The sequence below is a fragment of the Homo sapiens genome, chromosome 5 (assembly GCF_000001405.40).
Source record: "Homo sapiens chromosome 5, GRCh38.p14 Primary Assembly".
In the NCBI taxonomy this organism is placed as follows: domain Eukaryota; kingdom Metazoa; phylum Chordata; class Mammalia; order Primates; family Hominidae; genus Homo; species Homo sapiens.
The window spans coordinates 91,239,539-91,262,264 of record NC_000005.10 but is presented as its reverse complement, the minus strand read 5'-3'; the positions used below and the strand labels follow the sequence as shown (position 1 = coordinate 91,262,264).

At 38.7% G+C, this 22,726-nt stretch overlaps 1 long non-coding RNA gene across 1 annotated transcript in view; it reads left to right on the top strand.

The window, feature by feature from the left end:
- Positions 1 to 22,726, top strand: part of LOC107986432 (uncharacterized) — a 113,452-nt gene that overhangs the window by 3,009 nt on the left and 87,717 nt on the right. The window contains exons 2-3 of the long non-coding RNA XR_001742795.2: positions 17,255 to 17,445; positions 19,263 to 19,324. This is a non-coding gene — a long non-coding RNA (uncharacterized LOC107986432). The remainder of the gene's footprint in view (positions 1 to 17,254; positions 17,446 to 19,262; positions 19,325 to 22,726) is intronic.

Here is a 22,726-nt window from a genome sequence, read left to right as displayed (position 1 = left end):
ATCGAGACCATCCTGGCTAACACAGTGAAACCCCATCTCTACTAAAAAATACAAAAAATTAGCTGGGCGTGGTAGCAGTCACCTATAGTCCCAGCTACTCGGGAGGCTGAGGCAGGTGAATGGCATGAACCTGGGAGGCGGAGCTTGCAGTGAGCCGAGATAGTGCCACTGCACTCCAGCCTGGGTGACAGAGCAAGACTCCATCTCAAAAAAAAAAAAAAAATTCCCTTATTTTACGTTTAAATATTCCCATTTTAATGTTTGTAGGATCTGTAGTGTCACTCCTGCTTTCTTCTTCATATTAGTAACAAAGTGCTACAATATTTGCTTTCAGCAGTTATGTATCTTTTAAATAAAGTGAGGAAATATATGTGTGTACAATATACTACATATCTATTTACCCACACAGTTACCATTTCCAGCATTCTTCCTTCCTACCTATAGATTCCAGTTATGATCTATGTAGTTTAGTTGTTAGCCAAGGATTGGGGAACTTTTTAAAATCCAATTTGGAGCTTGCACTCTCTGTAGTTCCCTTAATTTCAGAGCTACCCCTTCTCACTCTCCACAAATTTCCACCTATTCCTCTGGCACCTCAGGCCATTAAGCCTTCAGCTTTCTGCTGCCTCAGCTGCATTCAGGTTGGGAATATACTCTGTCAAAAGACCAATGAAGTCACAAATCTTGCCTGAGATAGTTCTGATACAATGTGCAGATACATTATTCTCTCTTTTCTACCTATCTTTTGCTATTCCCACGTGGTCTTTTCTACTTATCCATAATTTAGCAGTCAGCTAGGGATTTGGGTAGAGTTTATACTCAGAATTTGGGCCTTATCCCTTCTGTGGTTTTCTTGCTTCTAATATTTCCTCCTAAAGTTCCAGCTACTCTGAAAGCTGTGTACTCTGTCTTTGTCCACCAGCAATACTGCAGTTTTCTGTCCCAGGAGCTTTGGGCATTGCAAACTCTCCTCAGGCAAAAAAAAAAAAAAAAAAAAAAAAAAACCCTCAAATTGCAATTCTTACCTGCTGCTGTTACAGTCTTTCAACAATAAACTGTTTGCAACTTCTGGTTTTCTCCAGAGTCTTCAAATCATTGTTTTAAATAAATGTTTTGTCCAGTTTTTATCATTGTTATCTGCATAAAAGTTCACCTGACCACTTTATAATGCCATTAGTAGAAACTTAACCCTTGATTTTTAGCCTTTGGCTTTACAATCATATATTGCAATTGTTTCTTATATGTGTTCTCTCCACAGATTGGTCAGGCCATTCTCTCTATAGGGATTGGGAATGATATTTTTATTTGTATGTGCCTCAAATGCCCAATTTTATTGCACATACATTTATTTAATATTTGCTTGACTTGAATACAAAGGTAAATATTTGCTTGACTTGAATACAAAGGTAAATAAAACTTGGCATTAAGGACTTGTCTAATGTGGGAAAATGATAAACAATGGAGTATGTATAATGAATTATTGTTGTTATGCCAGAAGTGGTTAGAGGGTACCATGGATCACAGTGAATATAAGGGTCAAGACTCTCAGAGAGGTCAGACAAAGTCTTTACAGAATTAGCAATCCAGTACTCAGGAGGCTGAGAGGAGAGGATCACTTGAGCCCAAGAGTTCAGGTCCAGCCTGGGCAACATAGTGAGAACCCCGTCAATAAAAAAAACAAAAGTAGGTTAAATAAACCAACAAATAAAAGGAAAGTGTAATACTTGAGAGCTGAGTCTTGAAAGATGATTAGCTGTTGGCCCACCTTTATGAGGTTTTGGTGAAATTCCTTATCATACATTTTTCTATAAATTAAGTAGCCATTCTCAAAGTTTGTATTGCAGAATAAATCATAGTGAATTGAAAGGAAATAATTATGTATTAAAAACTATAATATGGCAAACATTATGCTATAGAGATTTTACATATTTCATTTTAGTTATCATCTCAATAACTGTGAAATATTATTAGCCCTATTGTAGAGATAAGAAAAAAATAATTTTCAATTTGCCCAGTGTCAAGCAATTAACAAGTTATGTACATTCCTTCACCAAGTATTTTTTAAGCACTTGTTACATGCCAGACAGACATTATTGTTGGTGTCGGGTATACAAAAATAAACAACATAAAGTCCTTGGCCTTATGGAATTTACATTCTAATGCAGAAAGTCAATTTACAAACTAATAAACACATAAATATATGATGCTTTCCTTGGGAATAAGTGCTACAGAGAAAAATAAAAAAGGCAAGGAGGTGATATGTTACTAGATATAGAGGATGATCAGAAAAGTCTTCTTAAAGAGACGTTTGAGCCAAGATCTGGAAGAAGTAAAGAAGGATGCCATGAAAATACCTGGGGGAACAGCATTCAGAAGGCAAAGAGGACAGCACATGCAAAAGTGCATTCGTTGGTGTGTTTGAGGAATATGAAGGCAGCCAGTGGGGCTGCTGTGGAATGCGAGATGGGGAAATGGTAGGGGACGAAGTGAGATAAGTAGGTGGGCCCAGCTCATGCAGGGCTTTGTAGGCCAATGAACTTTTGAATGGATGAAATGAATGAAGCAGGAAATCACTGGAGGCTTTTGAGCATTAGAGAGGCATATTATGTCCTATATTTTAGAAGGATCACTCTGGTATGGGAAATAAACTATGGGGGCAAGAGTGGAAGCACACAGACCAGCTAGGAGATTATTAAAATTGTTCAAGTAGGAGATTGGACCAGCATTGCAGCCAGTGAAGCTGGAGAGAAGAATTTGGATTCTGGACTTATTCTGTGTGTAGAGTTGACAATATTCCCAATGAATTGGAACTATCTTTTGAAAAAGAGTTGACAATATTCCCAATGAATTGGAACTATCTTTTGAAAGAGGAGCCAAACTCAGGTCAATCTAATTTCTGAACTCACACTTCCTCTAAGTGCAGGAAAAAAAAAGTCTATTTAAAGAAGAAAAGCAGTGGAAAAAACTCATGGTCACTGGCAAATCCAAATTATTTTAATCACCCAAAATGTCTTCAAACTAAGTTGCTCAGTGTGTCAACCTGAAGCACATTCAGTGTTATGAAAACGGATAATACACAGAGTGTATGCAATTTGTGAATACTTTAGAATTCTGTGCATATAAAAATACTTTACTCAAGTTTGAAAAATAACTAAAAGTAAAATGAGAATCATGACAATCCTGTGAAGTATGAGATGAACAACTATTAGTCCTACCATTCCATGAGTTATAAAGTCACAATAAATATATGGCCCCTTTGGTCAAATCCAATTAATCAAGCACTAGGATCAGGGTATATGGATTCTAATTCTAGAGCAGAGATACTCTTTGATCAATTGCTGACTCACGCTCAAGGTTGCCTGCCTTTTTAGCCTATTTTTAATTAAAGGTATCAAATATTTGATACCATACGCATGACAAGCATTTTGAAACAGCAATAGATGGTATAAGAAGATCCTACACAATGTTAAATTTAGAAGTGTCCACCAAAGGATAGCTCACTGAAGTACAAAGAGCTTGGAAGAACCAATTTCTAAGTCTTTATGTTCTATATCAGTTACCCTAAGTATTTTGAAATATCTATAGTTTTTTTTTTTTTTTTTGAGATGGAGTCTTGCTCTGATGCCCAGGCTGGAGTGCAGTGGTGTGACCTTGGCTCACTGCACCCTCCACCTCCCGGGCTCAAGTGAGTCTCCTGCCTCAACCTCCTGAGTAGCTGGGACTACAGGCATGTGCCACCATGCCTGACTAATTTTTTGTAGTTTTAGTAGAGATGAGGTCTCACCATGTTGGCCAGGCTGGTATTGACCTCAGGTGATCTGCCTGGCTTGGCCTCCAAAAGTGCTGGGATTACAGGCATGTGCCACCATGCCTGGCCATCGAAACATCTATAATTGTGTAGATTTCCTTACTGCTTACTCTGCAATGGCAAAATCTGTTTAAATATTTCTTTGGTGGGGGGTTTCTTTGGTGGGGGGTGTTTAGAAATGCACACAGAAAGAACATTTGCAAACACATTTGAACAAAGCTTGTTTGGAGACTAATTTTTACTTCTATGATGTTGAGCACATAAAATGACAATTATATTATTTCCTCTAAAATAAAAAAAAAAAAAGTTTAGGCATGAGGTGGCCATAGAATTTATCTGTACTGAAGCAATTGGGTTGTATGGATTCTTATATTACATGGTAAATATTTTGCATTTGTCCAGAGTAAGCCTCAGTAATTAGGCCATAATCGTAATTTGTCACTCTTAAAGACTACAACTGTGTGTATTTGCAAAGGTTAATGACAATTCGATTTTTCAATAATTCTGGGAGCATTGTTTACCAAACTAAGATGGCTAGCAAGACTCTTATCGTTTACTTGATATAAATATATTTTATTAAATACTTAAGACTACATAACTACATAACTTTGTAAAGAAAGCTTTTAACCAAATTTTGGAAATTAAAGGTGAGTTTTTTCTTTCTAAAGCTGTGATTTTAACCTTCATGGTGCCCAGTCATGTGCCATATATTATTTAATATTTAATAAATAGATGTCATGACATCTATACACACATATATTTTAGTATTAAAATCTATATTATTGGTTTTTCCTTAAAACTATTCAGAAGGTAATAAGCAATTCTATTTCTATTTTACAGACAAAGGTATGAATATTTAAATGTGTAATAGGCTAAATCACATGAGTAGCAGAATGAGTACCAGAACATGATTCATTAATTTTGTGTTTACAGATCAGTGAGCCCCAGAATATTTTTGTTTCTGGACTGTTCTTTAGTCAGGGTGGATTAAACTACATCTGTATTTGCTGTTGGAGAGATTCCAAATGCACATTTTATATGGTATAAGTTGAAAGTGGAATAAAATGTTACTGGAAAAGATCACCTTTTCCACATAAAATCCAGGCTTTCAAAAGAAGCATAGTCTAGATTCATATAATTCTGGAACATCAGAATAAATAAACCAATCAATAAACTAATAAGGGAAGGAAGGTTTCTTAGTTACTCTTCCAGATTTTACGGCTGGTTGCAGTATCATGTTCATGTTAGTAAATGGCTTTGGGAAGCCTATTAGCCAGCAGAAATGTGAACTAAAGATTATACTCAGTGGAATAACAGTAGTTAGCATTAACCAGATAGCAAATTTCAATAAAATCATTTCAAATTGGAGAGAATAATCCCATTTGGAAACTTCTGTTACCTGTTCAAACAACAATGGTATTGAACATGTTTTTTTTTTTTTTTTTGAGATGGAGTCTTGCACTAGAGTTAGGCCAGGCGCAGTGGCTCACACCTGTAATCTCAGCACTTTGGGAGGCTGAGGGGGTGGAGCCCGGGCTGGAGTGCAGTGGTGTGATCTCAGCTCACTGCAACCTTTGCCTCCTGGGTTCAAGCGATTCTCCTGCCTCAGACTCCCAAGTAGCTGGGATTACAAGCACCTGCCACCAGGCCTGGCTAATTTTTTGTGATTTTAGTAGAAATGGGGCTTCACTATGCTTTCCAGGCTGGTCTTGAACCCCTGACCTCGTGATTCTCCTGCCTCGGCCTCCCAAAGTGCTGGGATTACAGGCGTGAGCCACCACGCCTGGCCTGAACATCTATTTTATGTCCACCAGTGGTATAGGGTGATGAGATATGAGAGAGAAAATTAAGAGTTTTTTGCCTTCAAAGAATTTATAATCTAGTTCTTCCTGACTGTTTCATTTCAGGGTGGCCAATACAAGCTTTAGATGCTTCTTGATACCTTTATTTAAAGAACCAAATTTTGTCAGAATCACTCAACTCATCAGGCACCGTGGCTGACACCTATAATCCCAACACTTTGGAAGGCTGAAGTCGGAGGATCAATTGAACCCAGGAGTTCAAGACCAGCCTGGACAATATAGCAAGACCCTGTCTCCACAAAAGAATTAAAAAACTAGCTGGGCTTGGTGGCATGCACCTGTAGTCCCAGCTACATGGGAAGCCGAGGTGGGAGGATTGCTTGAGCCCGAGAGGTTAAGGCTGCAGTGGGCCACGATTGTGCCACTACGCTTCAGCCTGGGCAACAGAGTGAGACCCCACCCCCACCCTGCCCCCCTAAAGAAAGAGAAAAAAAATCGCTCATCTCTTTTGGAGGGTACCAAGAAGCAAATGAATGATAGTGAAAATATATAGTGCAAACAGTCCTTATTTTCTTCAGTTGGTGATGATTCAATGACCTGTTAGAAAGATCTCAGTGTAGAAAAGGCCTTGACTAGTCAGGTGATCTTTGTGAACTCCTTCACCCTCAGAAAGGAAAAATAATATTGGTTCTGCCTCCTGGCACTGGCAAGAAACACATGAATGCCTGTGCAAGTGCATATCAAGGACTGCAATGTCATTTATCAACAGATTTCCAAAGCAGCAAAGAGCAAGCATTTAAACCATGCAATTGAATTTTAGGAAAAATGCTCAAAAATAAAATTTGACTAATTATTCAACCTTGTTAGGCATTCTGCCCGATCATCTTTCTTTTTTCCTACACAGCGCAAAACACTTATTTGTGGTATTCATTAGAAGGAAAAAATAATAATTATTGTTATTGTGCCAAATTTTTGGTAAAAATTAGTTAAAAGCTTATCAACCTACTAGATTTTTTTTATCTAGTCTTGCCTTATGGTAATTATGCTGAAATATCAATTGCACAATCATTTATTGTGCAAGGTCAAGGTACAATTCACTGTATTAGACACGGAAAGAAATACATGAATATAAATATTAACCTATTTTTGATGTCCAGATACTTATAACCTAGCAGAGATAACTCTTTTTTTTTTTTTTTTTTTTTTTTTTTTTTTTCTGAGACAGAGTTTTGCTCTTGTCGCCCAGGCTGGAGTGCAGTGACACCATCTTGGCTCACTGCAACCTCCGCCTCCTGAGTTCAAGCAATTCTCCTGCTTCAGCCTCCTGAGTAGCTAGGATTACAGGCACCTGCCACACGCCCAGCTGATTTTTGTATTTTTAGTAGAGACAGTGTTTCGCCGTATTGGCCAGGCTGGTCTTGAACTCCTGTCCTCAGGTGATCCACCCACCTTGGCCTCCCAAAGTGCTGGGATTACAGGCGTGAGCCTATAAATAGGAGATTGTGCTGAAAGTGTTTATAAGATGCAGTTGGACACCTCTCACCCCAGAGCTCCTCCTCTACTCTGTATAGTAGATCAAGTGTAGGCCCAACAAGGACAAAATATTGCAGGTTTATTCAAAAGAGGGTATTGGAAATGGAAGACACTAGGCAACATCGAAGCTAGGGGCTACTCTGCAAAGAACAGTGGAATTAAGTGATTTTTAACATATATTCTAAGAGCAGTCAGCTTGTCTTCCTATCCTTAGTTCCCAGAATGTTTGCTTCCAGCTTCTACTCTCTCTAGGCTGAAGAGTGGAAAAGTCATCTCTGGGGAACCTGATGAGCCAAGAAGACCTAAAGATCCTGATATCAGAGTTCCTTCAAAGAAATGGGCCACGCATATCACCCACCAAGAGCAAAGGACCATCTAAATGTAGTGCATCCAGAAGATGCTCAGAGCTCTCTATTCGCTTTCTAGTCACCTGCTCTTAGGGAATCCAAGGTCATTCAACATCTGAGAGGATCCACTTATGTGAAAGACAGAGAGGGCAACAAGTAGATTAAAACAACATTGAAGGCATGGATACAGGCAGGAGGAGAAAAGGGAAATACTTTCATATCTCTGATGGAGAAGAGAGAATGCTGTATCCATAAAAGTGAACAGTTTGATGATCTATCATCTATCTATCTATCTATCTATCATCATCTATCTCTCTCTCTATCATCTATTTATCTGTCTCTAAAAAGAGTAAGAAAGACATCCTTAATATTCAAATCACGAGAATATATATTAAAAAAATACCCAATAGAAGAGTTGAAGGTCGGGCGTAGTGGCTCACGCTTGTAATTCCAGCACTTCGGGAGGCCGAGGAGGGTGGATCACTTGAGGCCAGGAGTTCGAGACCAGCCTGGCCAACATGGTAAAACCCCATCTCTACAAAAAAAAAAAAATACAAAAATCAGCTGGGCATGGTAGCACATGTGTGTGCAATCCCAGCTACTCGGGAGGCTAAGGTGAGAGGATCACCTGAGCCTGGGAGGTCAAGATTACTAAGCTATGCTTGTGCCACTACACTCCAGCTTGGGTAACAGAGTGAAACTTTGTCTCAAAAAAAAAAAAAAAGAGAGAGAGAGAAAGATAATTATATAAATTGAGGACATCTCTCACAAGGTAGAGTGAAAAGACAATGAGAAGGATAATTACATAGAGAAAAGATTTAGAGGACTAAAGGACCAGTGCAAGAAGTTCAATATCTGCATAACAGGTATTTCAGATGGTAAAAGGAATCTGAGGATTTTTTTTAAGAAGAAGAAAAAAATTCATAAAAGGAGATAAGAGAAAATGGATAGAAGAAAATAATCAAATAAGTAAATCAAGAACATTTGTCGGAACTGAAGGATATGAATTTCTACATTAAAAGGGGACTACCAAGGGCCCCAAGCAGTAATTCTAATTGTTTCAGTGGAATTTTAAAAATTGCTTTTATAGAGACAGGGTCTCACTATGTTGTCCAGGCTGGTCTTGAACTTATGGGCTGAAATGATCCTCCCACCCTGTCCTCCCAAAGTGCTGGGATTATAGGCACAAGTCACCATGTCTGGCCTCAGTGGGATTTTTTTTTTTTTTGAGGTTGGGAGAGAGTTTTTTGGTCATATTTTCTTTTCTTGTTTGAGACAGGGTCTCACTTTGTTGCCCAGGCTGGAGTGCAGTGGTGCAATCATGGTTCACTGCAGCCTTGACCTCCCAGGCTCAAGAAATCCTTCTGCTTCAGCCTCCCAAGTAGCTGGGACTACAGGCATGCACCACCACACCTGGCTAATTAAAAAAAAATTTTTTTTTTGTAGAGACAGATTTCACTATGCTGCCCAGGCTACTTTTGACCTCTTGGGCTCAAGTGATCCTCCTGCCTTAGCCCCCTAAAGTGTTCGGATTACAGGCATGAGCCACCATGACCTGCCATGTCTTAACTTCTAAATAATATGCTTATATAGCTGCTTTGTGAGTTTTCAGCTTTAGATGTCATCTATTGTGTTAGTCCGTTTTCACATTGCTATAAAGAACTCCCCTGAGACTGGGTGATTTACAAAGGAAAAGTTTCAATTGACTCACAGTTCCACATGGCTGGAGAGACCTCAGGAAACACAATCATGGTGGAAGGGAAAGCAGGCATCTTCTTCACAAGTTGGCAGGAAAGAGAAGAGTGAGGAGGAACTTCCAAACACTTAAAAACCATAGATATTGTGAGAATTCACTCACTATCACTGGAACAGCATGGGGGAAACTGCCCCCAGGATCTAATCACCTCCCTCCCTCAACACGTGGGGATTACAATTGGAAATGAGATTGGATGGGGACACAGAGCCAAACCATATCATCTATTGACTTCCTATTTTAGGATGAGCATTATTTACTCATTACTTTCTTCCTATGTATCTATTCTTCTCTTCTTACCATTCACCTCGTATAATTATGTTTTAATTTTGGCTAAACCAGTATTCACAATTTACATTATTATGACTACATAAAAGCTGCTCACAGCTGAGACATGTAGCATTTTATAATTTCTCTTTTTGTTTCCGATATAATCTTTTGCTTTCCTCTAAGTTAATCTTTGTCTTGTTTCTTCATTTGTGAAATTTGAAAGTTTAAGAATCGACCTATTTTCACTCACAATTCAAATACTGTCATTAAGAAATGATCTCCTTCCTTTGATCTGCTCTCCTGTCTTCTGAGCCACTTCATTCTCAGGCAGGCATTCCTAGCAAGCAGGCAAGAAGCAACTTCAAGCTTACACGCTAGCAGTTTAGAAACCTCAGCAGATAAAGGGAGACTTTTCTCAATAGCTCCAGGAAGAAAACCAATCTCTAACCCAAGAGGATGTGCTACTCTTTTCGCTTTTCAGAGTCCCACTCTAGCCAGAGGATGGTGTAGGTTTTATGTCAGCCTTTAGGATTGAGAATGACAGAAGGAGTCTGAGCAAACAAAAAAAGATTGGAAGAATATTATGTATTTTACGTTAGTATCTGTAACTATATTATAGCTCAAACTCAAAAAGGTGTTAGAACTGTACAGGCTAGAAGGGAATAAGAGTTCATTTAGTCCATTCTTCTGATTTAATCAGGGTCATAACCAAAGTATTCCAGATTTAACATTCAAATTTTATTGATGTTGACCTCTATAGATGATGCATTTTGGTGGAAGAAACTCTATATAATTCAATTTTTCAAGTTTAAAATGGCCCAGGGGGCTGGGCATGGTGGCTCACACCTGTAATCCCAGCACTTTGGGAGGCAGAGGCAGGAGAATTGCTTGAGCTCGGGAGTTTGAGACCAGCCTGGGCAACATAACACGACTCTGTCTTTACCAAAAAAAAAAAAAAAAGGCCTAGAGGATAATGGCCTAGTATTATGATTTTAGGGCTAATTCAAAAAATTTGTATGGGTGCTCAAAGGGCAGAAATTTATACATAAGTCAAAATTAAGATGATACGAATTTATGGTTTCTATTCTTTTATGGCTGTACTATCTTATCTCTCTGAAGACATAAGCAACTTTAAAAAAGCATCTTTTGGCCCGGCGAGGTGGCTCATGCCTGTGATCCCAGCACTTTGGGAGGCCGAGGCGGGCAGATCACTTGAGGTCAGGAGTTCGAGATTAGCCTAGCCAACATGGTAAAACCCTGTCTCTACTAAAAATAAAAAAAGTAGCCAGCATGGTGGTGCGCACCTGTAGTCCCAGCTACTTGGGAAGCTGTGGTGGGAGGATCACTTGAGCCAAGGAGTTTGAAGTTACAGTGAGCCATGATCATGCCTTGCACTTTAGGCTAGGTGATAGAGTGAGACCCTGTCTCAAAAAAAAAATTACAGTATATATTAAGTATAATAAAAGTACAGAGAATAACATAAGAAACATGCGTGTACCCATCATTTAACCTTTTGACATATTTGGTAACTTTTTTTTAAATTACTTTTAAATTATGTTATAGACATTTTTTTCCTCTTTTTTTTTTTTTTTTTTTGAAAAGGAGTCTCACTCTGTTTCTCTGTCTCCTAGGCTGGAGTGCAGTGGCGCAGTCTCCACTCACTGCATCACTACAACCTCCACCTCCCAGGTTCAAGCGATTCTCCCGCCTCAACCTCACCAGTAGCTGGGATTACGGGTGCTGACCACCATGCCCAGCTAATTTTTGTATTTTTAGTAGAGACAGGTTTCACCATGTTGGCCAGGCAGTTCTTGAACTCCTGACCTCAAGTGATCCACCTGCCTCGGCCTCCCAGAGTGCTGGGATTACAAGCGTGAGCCACCACGCCCAGCTTATAGACAGTTTTAATAGTGTATAGAACATACCTATAATAGCTTAAGGAATAAGATGAATGTGCATGTACTCTTTAGCAAACTTTAAAAAATAGAACATTCCTTCTATCTTAGGAGGCTTCTGTGTTTCCCTCTCTAATGGTTGACAGTTTGACTGAATATAGAATTCTAAGTTGGAAATAATTTTACCTCAGAAGTTTTAAAGACATTGTTCCGGTCAGGCGTGGTGGCTCACACCTGTAATCCCAGCACTTTGGGAGCCCGAGGCAGGAGGATTGCTTAAGCTCAGGAGCTCAAAAATCGGCCTGGGCACACAACAAGACTGTCTCTATTAAAAAAAAAAAAAAAAAAAGAAGAAGAAGAAGACATTGTTCCATTATCTTCTGGCTTCCCATTTTGCTGTTCAGGCACCTGATGCCATTTTGATTCCTTTTCCTTTGTATATAATCTACTTTTCCCTTCTATGGAAACTTTTGCCCCCAGGGTTCTGACATTTCACAACGATGTACCTTGGTATGAATTTATTTTTATCAGTGTGCCAAGCACACTCTATGAGTCCTTTCAATCTGGAAATTCATGAGCTTCTGCCCTGCGAATGTTATTAGATTACTTTTTTGATGATTTTTCTCCAGAACATTTTCTATGTTCTCTACTATTATTTCAGGGTAGACATGATGGGTTGATGTCCTAACTTTCTTTCATTTTTCTCTCTTATCTCTTTGCCTTTTTGCTCTACTTTCTGGGAGATTTTCTCAACTTTATCTTCATGCCCTTCCAACTTCTTATTTCTATCATATTTACATATTTATTCTTTCTTTTGTTTTTTGAGACAGGGTCTTGCACTGTTGCCCAGGCTGGAGTGCCATAGTGTGATCTTGGCTCACTGCAGCCTTCTCCTTCCAGGTCAAAAGTGATCCTCCCATCTCAGCCTCCCAAGTAGCTGGGACCACAGGCATGAGCCACCACTCCTGGCTAATTTTTGTATTTTTGGGAGAGATGAGGTTTTACCATGTTGCCCAGGCTGGTCTTGAACTCCTGACCTCAAGTGATCTACCCACTTCCACCTCCCAAAGTACTGCGATTACAGGTGTGAGCCATCATGCCCTGCCCATATTTATAATTTCTAATAGCTCCTTTATTCCTGTCTTTTTAACAAAGTATCCTATTCTTTTATGGCTGTTCTATATTATCTCTCTGAAGATATAAGAAACTTAAAAATTATTTTTCTTCTCTTTGCACGGTCTCCGTTTCCTTGAGAACATTTTTTTTTCTCGTTTCTTTGTTTTGGTTTCTCTTTCACATATTCCTCAGTATTTCATAGTGATCCTTGGCCGCCTGCTCTCACTAAAAATGGAGCATTAAAGAGATCATTTGGGTTGGGCATGGTGGCTCATGCCAACACTTTGGGAGGCTGAGGTGGGTGGATCACTTGAGGCCAGGAGTTCAAGACCAGCCTGGGCAACATGGTAAAACCCCATCTCTACCAAAAATACAAAAATTAGCCAGGTGTAGTGGCTCGTGCCTATTGTCCCAGCTACGAGGGAGGCTGAGGTGGGAGGATCACTTTAGCCCCCAAGGGAGGAGACTGCAGTGAACTGTGATTGTGCCACTGCACTCCAGCCTGTGTGACAGAGTGAAACCCTGTCTCAAAAAAAAAAAAAAAGATAATTTAGAGTTCCATGTCCATGTATGGGACTTACTGACCAGGAGATTTATTATGAGATGTTTTGGCTGCAACATTTTATTCGGGAAGCCCTGACTATAGTATATCTTATATTATATATAACATATATGTTATATATAACATATATAACATATATAATATAAGATCTATGTATATATACCTTATAGTGCCCATAAGTATTTTTATGACACCTGGAAGAGAGTCTTCCATTTTCCTGCCTTGCAGGTAAAAACTGGTGGCTAATGTTTCAGTCAGAAGGCTGGTGGAGAAATGGTAGTGTCTCAATCTTTAGTATGTACCCATTTTATTTAATCTGTTTTCAATATGGTAGCCTGCTCTCACAGTGCCCTGTGCCCTCTGGTCAAGAAATACTGTTCTATTCTTTCTAGGTGATGAACCTTCAGTGTTGTGCTGGAGTAAGAAAATGGCAATCCCTTGACTACAAGGAGTTGCCAGACTCTGGGTATATAACTGCTTCTTAAACATTGACTCAATCTTCCTTCTTAAGGCCCAACTTTATTCCCACTTCCAAAATTACCAGACACGATTACTGGGAGCTGTTTGTGGGTTTGGAGGCATACATTGCATTGCTTTTTTAATTCCTCTACAGTCATTGTAGAGTATGAAGCTTCCTGAATTATGTTGAACCCATTTGGTTTCAGATTCCTATTCAAATTTCTCATCCTTTTTGTCCTTGTAGACAAATCTTCCTTTTCGTTTGTCTTGGTGTTCTGCAGTTTAGCTAGGATGGGTTTAAGTGTAGGTTTTGTTTACCTTGCATTGGGTTTCTTATGTTCCTGAATGTGATGATTTGTGTCTTTTATCAATTCCAGAATATTATCAGCCACTTTTTATTTTTTTATTTTTTTAGAGGAAGTCTAGCTCTGTCACCCAGGCTGGAGTGCAGTGGCTCAATCTCATCTCACTGCAACCTCTGCCTCCTGGGTTCAAGCGATTCTTCTGCCTCAGCCTCCTAAGTAGCTGGAACTAGAGGTGTGCACCACCACGCCTGGCTAATTTTGCGTATTTTTAGTAGAGACGGGGTTTCACCATGTTCGGGGACTGGTCTCGAACTCCTGACCTTGTGATCTGCCCGCCTCAGCTTTCCAAAGTGCTAGGATTACAGGCGTAAGCCACCGTGCCTGGCCAAAAATAACCTCTTTAAACACATTCGACATGCTTATTATCATTTCAGAATCTATGTCTTTGCAGATTTGCTTCTGTTACCATTCTGCTTTCTTTCTGTTTTTGTTTCTCTTGCTCTCCGTGGCTTCTTTTGTTGTTGTTTTGAGATTTTTCCAATCTGTACTCTTGTTCCTTGGAAGTTTATCTGTGAAAGCTCTTTGCGACCTAAATTTAAAACATCTACAAGTTCTTCTATCAGTACCACTTGGAAACACTGCCAACCTAGAACCATTTTAATGTAAATTTTTAGTTTGGGCACTTTGAGCCATACAGAGAGTGTAAATTCTGACCCTAAGTTCAGGTTGAGGGCCACTTGAGGTTACATATTACCGAGAGAGACCTCTCACCCTCATCCATAATTAAGACCAAGGAAAGCAAGTTTCTTTACTATTTTCCTTTTTCTTAGTTGCCTCATTAAAGAGAACAAAATTGTTTCTGGTTGGAGGAGGGTCTCAAATAAGAACTGCAATAGTTAATAGGCCCTCATGTTTATCTTTTTTTTTTTTTTTTTGAGACAGAGTCCCACTCTGTTGCCCAGGCTGGAGTGTAGTGGGGTGATCTCAGCTCACTGTAACCTGTGTCTCCCAGGTTCAAGCAATTCTCCTGCCTCAACCTCCCAAGTAGCTGGGATTACAGGTGCCCACCACCACACCCTGGCTGTTTTTTGTATTTTTAGTAGAGACGGGGTTTCACCATGTTGGCTAGGCTGGTCTTGAACTCCTGATCTGCCCACCTCGGCCTCCCAAAATGCTGGGATTACAGATGTGAGCCACCACACCTGGCCTATCTTTTATCATTTGTACTAAACCATTAAGTCTGAAGCTTTAGACCCCCTAGAATTTGTAGATTTCAATCCGCTGCATCCCATCTCCACTCCAGGCAGTGGGGATATGGTAAGCTATCTCAATGGCGTACACAGCAACGTTTAGTTCTTGTTCACATCACAGTTCTTTATGGAATAGTCAGGTCTTCCCAGAGATTCTCTTCCAAGCGGTGGTCTTGTATTTTGTGTGCTTACGTTGCAGAGCTCCAGTACCTGGAACATTTGGCTTTCAAAGGCATTACAGAAGTATCTGTAGGAAGAATTGTAGGACTAAGAAGGAAGTTTTCAAGGCAACACTTCTGTTTATGTTTTATTGCCAGATTTTTGCCCCAGTCAAATTTATATGAGGCCAAGAGGCCGTTCATGGTGGTTCATGCCTGTAATCTCAGCACTTTGGGAGATGGAGGCTGGCAGATCACTTGAGGTCAGGAATCCGAGACCAGCCTGGGCAACATGGTGAAACCTCGTCTCTACTAAAATTACAAAAATTAGTAGGGTGTGATGGTGCACACCTGTAGTCCCAGCTACTCAGGAGGCTGAGGCACGAGAATAGCTTGAACCTGGGAGGCGGAGGTTGGAGTGAGCCAAGATTGTGCCACTGCACTCCAGCCTGGGTGACAGAGCGAGGCTCCGTCTCAAAAAAATAAAATAAATAAATAAATAAAATAAAATAAAAATGAATTTATAGGAGGTCAAGAAATATAGTCTTCTTGTGTGCTGAGGAAAAGGAATTGGTGAATACATAGCATTATCTCTGTCACCAAGGAGGGCTCTAGGGACTCTAATGGATTTAGAAAATGTAAATTTGCGAAATGAAATGAAAAAAATGAGTAAGAAATCAGTGAAATAGTTTATAACCCATCTATTGCAGTTGAATTTATAATATGTCAAATCTGATTCAAACCAGGAGAATTGATTCCCAGATTCCTTGAGCATCCTTGCTCCAAGGCTGTTTTATGTTAATGACATGCTGTGAGCTAGTTTGGGAACCAGTATGGTGATGCTTCGAGAATTATCAGGACAGAAATAAGATGAATTTTCTGGACTTACATTTCTGGGAGATATCCACAGATTTTGTTAAGCATTAAAACTCTGACCCCTACTGTTCTTCTATGCTTTTTTCATGAAACCCATTAGCCTAACCCCCAAACATATAGTCCTCTCTCTCACCTTTTAATCTGTACATGTCTTGTTCTCTGTGCTTGGAGTTCTTTATTACTGTTTGCCCTCATGTTAGGCTTGTAATCACCAAAAGTTTATATGTAATCTTTTCTCAGAAGTCTTTTTGGAGTCCCCCAAAAAGAATTGCTTGTGTTTTCTATGTGTTTTCAAATATCGTTGTTGGTTTTACTTATTTATATGGTTGTGGTCTTCATCACACCGCCTTATTCCCTAAAACACAGTTATACTCATAATTAGGGTGTGATCACATTGGAAGTAAAGATTGAGTCTTTTTGTGTTTTTTCTCCATAATCTAGGATAGTTCTAGACACATAGAAGGTGCTCAATAAATGTCTGCGGCTCAGTGATAACTCTAGCTTAACAGAGTTCTCCATGCACATGGTGAAATTATTCAGTTCAGTCTAGCTGAGGGGATTAACTAACTGCATCGTAGCCCCGCTCCATAATCCACATGATTGTGGTCAGATCACTTTAATTATAAGGGAAGAAGACACAATCTCTACCCTTAATAAACTTTATCTCTAGAAAAGAGATATAAAACACACCCAAGTATACACACAGATATACAAAGAAGTTACAATTAAATTTAAATGTACGAGTGCTTGTTAAGCAGAAAGGAGGGAAAGACGGAGTGCACTGGGGGAAAAGAAAACCTATGATGTGAGGTGAACATGCACAGGCAACTGTGGCAGTGTACCCAGCCTGGCTGTCCTCATTCACCCCTCAGCTGCATGCTGACGAAACAGTCACTCTGTCTGTTTGGAAGCTAAAACATTTTTAGCAGGCTTGGAGTGCAGACATGACCACATTTAGCTCCTCAATGCTGCTCCTGATTGACAGTCCCTAAAATGGAAAGCTGGAAATTTGGTCATATATGAGTTTAATATCTCATCAGAAAGAATTTAAAAAGCAAAGTGTATTGACCTTTTTTTTGTTTTGTTTTTGTTTAGTTAATATCATTTTTCTATCATGCAGCTTGAAATAACACGGTGCTAAGCATGGATTTTTCCACCGAATGAGGAAATTCTAATTCTAATTGTTAGTCTCTTTATCAATGACGCCAAGTGGCAAGGAACATCACCATCTTTGGAGACCTAGTGGTGGAGTTAAACTACTACAGGGAAACAACTTTACGTATAGAGGAGTTGAGCTTCCTAGAGGAAAAGGTACATCTGTTTTTTGTTTCTCTTCCTTTTTCCTGATACAACTTAGCAGAGCAGCACAAGTTTGTAGGTGTGGAACCACCACTTTACCCAACACATGCCCCAGAAAATTACCCAATTCCTGTCTATTCTGCTTCCCTTGGCACCCCTTTTCACCTCCCATTCCAATCCTGTCAGTCTCAATCAACTTTTACTGCTGACGTATGGGCCCGGCTGCTGAATGCCTTGACTAGAATCCTGAAGAGTAATCACATCTGTTGTTACAGTTGTAGTGGTGGTGGTGATAGTGGTGGTATGTGTATGTGGCTTAGGTGGGGGACAAGGAATGTTACATGACAGCTTGTTTCCACTCCATGTTCTTCAACAGTAACTATACATCAGAATTTAGTATCTGGAGATTAAAAACAACAACAGCAACAACAGCAACAAAAACTAAGTAATAGAGATGTTCATTTCCAGTAGTGACAAACTAGTAATTCAGACCAAACCTCCTACTGAGTTTTAATAGAAAAGATGGGGGAAAATCCATTTGAAGGTATCTGAAAGCTAAAGAAGTAGGGCATAATTAGTTCACGATTTGGAAAAAATAAAAATCAAGAGACCTTGTGCCTTATGATTGAGGCTGCTTTTCTCCTAGAGACATTTGAAAATTCCAGAAAAGGTATCTGGGGTATAAAAGTCCTTCCCAAGTGGAAGCTTATCAAACTCTTTGCACATAAGGTTGTAACTCCAAAGAACTATAGCCAGGAATAAGGGTGAAGTAGAAGCCAACTGGCTCTCTCAAAGACTGTAGCCCAGTTCCAAATTACTTTTATCACTGAAATTATCTTAAGTGTTTCCAGATTGCTAGAGGTCCCAAATGTCCCAAATGCAAACTTTTTCCTGGGTAAAGTTGACATTATGCTAGACCTCAAATTATGTCAACATATAATTTTTAAAACACAAGTTCTGATGCACAATAGAAAATAACCAAGACTCTAAGAAGACAGAACTTCATGAAAAATAACTAAAAACAGTCTTGCAAACACTCCAAAAATTAGGGTCCTCAAACATTGATTTTAAAAGCTATGCTTTCTTACATTCATAGAGATAAAAGACAAGATTTGGAATTATAGCTGAGAGCTAAAAATATTAAACCATGGTAAACTGAAAAGGGATCAAATAGAAAAGCTAGAATTTGCAAATGCAGTAACTAAAATTAAGAACAAAATATATGGATTTAACAGCAGATTAAACACAATTGAAGAGAGAATCTGTGATCTGAATGGTAGGACAGAAGAAAATATGCAGAAAATCATAAATCACAATTAATGGCAGACAAAAAAAAGAGAGAAATGATGAGATTACAGTGAGAAAATATGATATACATGTGGAATCCAAGAAGTAGAGGAGAGTGAAATAGGACAGAAACAATATTTGAGAAAATAATGGCTAAGGATCTTCCAAAGTTGATAAAGAACAATAAGCCTATATTCAATAATTCCTAAGGATAAATAAAAAGAAATTCATACCTAGGCTCATCATTGTAAAACTGATGTAAATAACAATAATAAGGTAAATTTTAAAAGCAGCCAGAAGAGAAAAGACAGATTACTTTCAAGGAAAACAATTTGACATAGTACTTTTCAAAAGAAATAATGAAAGCCAGAAAACAATGGGATGATATTTCCAAAGAACCCAAAGAAGATAACCTATAGTTTATACACAGGGAAAATATCCTCCAATAATGAAGATGAAATAATGACATTTGTTTTTTAAGCAAAAACTGATATAATTGATCTCTAGCAGACCTACAATAAAGAAAATACTTCTTTTGGCAGAAGGAAAATCATTCCTAATGGAAGATCAACTATTCAAGAAAGAAAGAAGAGCAATGAGAAAGGTAAATATGCGGGCGTACCTAAATGGAAGTTGACTAAATATACTAATCATCGTATCTTGTGTAATTTAAATATTATTGGAAGACAATTCTTTATAGGCCTCCCTGCATGATTTGTGAGCAAAGGCACTAAAAGTTTTGTTTCAGACTATTTTTAATGAATGTTTGTACAGCAAGGAGCTTTGGGGTAGAGATAGTGTCTCTCTCCAAAGCACAGTAAGTTTGTCTGCTCAGGATTTCTCAGTTATGATGCAAATGCACTATGTGCCTAGTATCTACCTGGACCACTCCGTGTCACCCCAATGGGCTTTTCGGGGGGGTGAGGAGAATTGACACAAACACAAAGCTTACACTTCTTCCTGTGCCATGAGTAATAATGTCCTTTATCTTTGACTCAGGAATGTTGTAGCTTCTGCCTGCATCCCTGAAATTATGGCAGGCTAACTTGCTAGCTTGCAAGTAGAGTAAAATCTCATATCTTTCATAGTTCTTGACAAATATGCATGTAGAATTAAAATAAACAACACTACCATGTAAGCATATATATTACATTCAAGTGGGGTTTATTAAAGAAATGTAAATTGACTTAACTTTTGAAAATTAACCAATGTAATTCATCACACTTGCAGAATAAAAGAGAAAAATGATTTGATCATCTTAAAAGATGCAGAAATATCTTTTAATAATTTCAATACTCATACATGATTTAAATTCAACTTCTAGCAAATTAGAAATAGATAGACACCAGGTGTGCTATCTATCTAATCCCAGCACTTTGGGAGGCTGAGGCAGGTGGGTTGCTTGAGCTCAAGAGTTCAAGATCAGCCTGGGTAACATGGTGAAACCCCATCTCTACCAAAAATACAAAAAATTAGCTGAGCATGGTGGCATGCACCTATGGTCTCAGCTACTTAGGAGGCTGAGGTAGGAGGATCACTTGAGCCTAGGAGGTGGAGGTTACAGTGAGCTGAGATCGCACCACTGTACTCCAACCTGGGTGACAGAGATGACGCCATCTCAAAAAAAAGAAAGAAAAAGAAATGGATAAGAACTTTCCTAATCTGCAAAAGGCATCTAGACCCAGAGCAAGCATCAGTTGTATTTACACATCAGCAGCATTTATAAAATACAAGTTTGAAAATATAAAATTCACAACATCATAAAAATTTAAAATGCCTAGAGCCAATCAAGATGTGCAAGGTCTTTTTATTTATTTATTTATTTTTGAGATGGAGTCTTGCTCTGTTGTCCAGGCTGGAGTGCTGTGACGTCATCTCGGCTTACTGCAGCCTCTGCCTCCTGGGTTCAAGTGATTCTCCTGTCTCAGCTTCCCGAGTAGCTGGGACTACAGGCACACACCACCACACCTGGCTAACATTTGTATTTTTAGTGGAGACAGTGTTTCACCATGTTGGTCAGGCTGGTCTTGAATTCCTGACCTCAAGTGATTCATCCACCTCGGCCTCCCAAAGTGCTGGGATTACAGGCCTGAACCACTGCACCTGGCCATGTGCAAGATCCTTATGCATAAATATATAAAATATTATTGAGAGAAGTTTTTATAGGCCTAAATCAACAGAGAGATATGTCATGTTCATGAACCGGAAGACTCAACACTATAAAAATATCATTTTCTCCAAGCTGATTTCTAGACTTCATAAAATCCTAATCGAAATCCCAAAACAGCTTGCATGCATGTGTCTGTGTGCATGTATAACTAAACAAGTTATATGTCGTCGAAGGCCACTATCCACTATCTACTCTCTCTCTGGCTTATACAGGGACTACGATAGGAAAGTCACAGCGTATCTGTGTAATGGCAAAAAAATTGTTTGTTCATATAATTTCATGTGTAATTGATAAGTATGAGATGGACTTAATGTATTGTATAATATTTTGGAGGTTTAAAATGTTGCTATTTCTAAACCTAGTTTACCAGGATTGTTAAAACTCTTATTGTTGGGGATTTTGTGTAAAATTTAAAAATAGTTTATTTTGTGTTATAATCAAGAAAAACACAATTTTCTCCTTTGACAAAAAAAAAACCCAAAGTCATTATAGTTACATATTGCTATGTCTATAAAACTTTTATATTAATCACATGCTGGCCAGCTGATCGAAAGCTAGCCGGTATTTCTGTACAGGAATGCCAAGAATAAAATTTCATAAGGCCTTTACTTCTCAATGAAAAATAATAGTCAATTTAGAATATATATTGGGGAATTTACATATTAGGACTTTTTAATTCAAATAAAATTTTAGTTTTTTCCTTTGAGGTAGAAAATTATCATCATTATTAACACTATTAACTGTACCTTGGCAGTTGTCTTGTTTATCAATTAGATTCCAGAGCTAAATATCTTATGTCCAATCTCCTCAACTACAACCCCAAAAGCTGCCTTAAACAGTTAAATAAAAATTTTTCACAGACCAAATTCTATATGACTTGTAGTGGGATGTGAAGAGGTATGTTATATCAATGGTGTGCTGGCGCGTCTGTAAACTGATTAATGAGAACCAGTCATGAGTGTGTCTTTCCAACTCCACATTTAGTGACGTCATATTGATAGTTTGAAATCAGGCGTGGTAGACAGGAGTAGTTATACCACAGAAATGGGTGAACACAATAAATCAGGGTTTGTTGTTGTTCTTGTTGTTTTACCCTGGAGAGCTGTCTGTTAAACATTACCAGCACACCATTATGTTAGGTGAAGAAAAAAAGAAAAGGAAACATGGAAGTGGTTTTAGTTATAGAAAGGCCATGAAATTTGAAAATGGAGTTCAGAATGACTTGTCAGATTCAGAATTGGAAAATATTAGTCAAAGTTTCATTTATTTATATATGTATTTCTTTAGAGACAGTCTCGCTCTGTCCCCCAGGCTGCAGTGCAGTGGTGCCATCTCAGCTCACTGAAACCTCTGCCTCCCGGGCTTAAGTGATTCTCCTGCCTCAGTCTCCTGAATAGCTGGGACCATAGGTGTATGTCAACATGCCCAGCTAATTTTTGTATTTTTTGTAGAGATGGGGTTTCGCCATGTTGGTCAGGTTGGTCTCGAACTCCTGACCTCAAGTGATCTGCCCACCTCGGCCTCCTAAAATGCTGGGATTACAAGAGTGAGCCACCATGCCTGGCCGTGTGATCCTATTTTTGATCAAACATTTGAAACCTTTATTTTTACAGACTTCCCCAAATCAAATTCTCAATTTAAGTCTTTTTAACCTTGAACTAACTTTGAGATGTTCCACAGGGTTCCAGAACTTCTCAAATGATCTATTAAATAAGTATTAAACTGAAGTAGGCTTATTTGATATGTTAAATTATATAAGAAATATTGTCAAATAAGAAATGTTTAACCTTCTTTGAGTTATATTTGTATGGACATATTATTAATATGTGCTCCAAA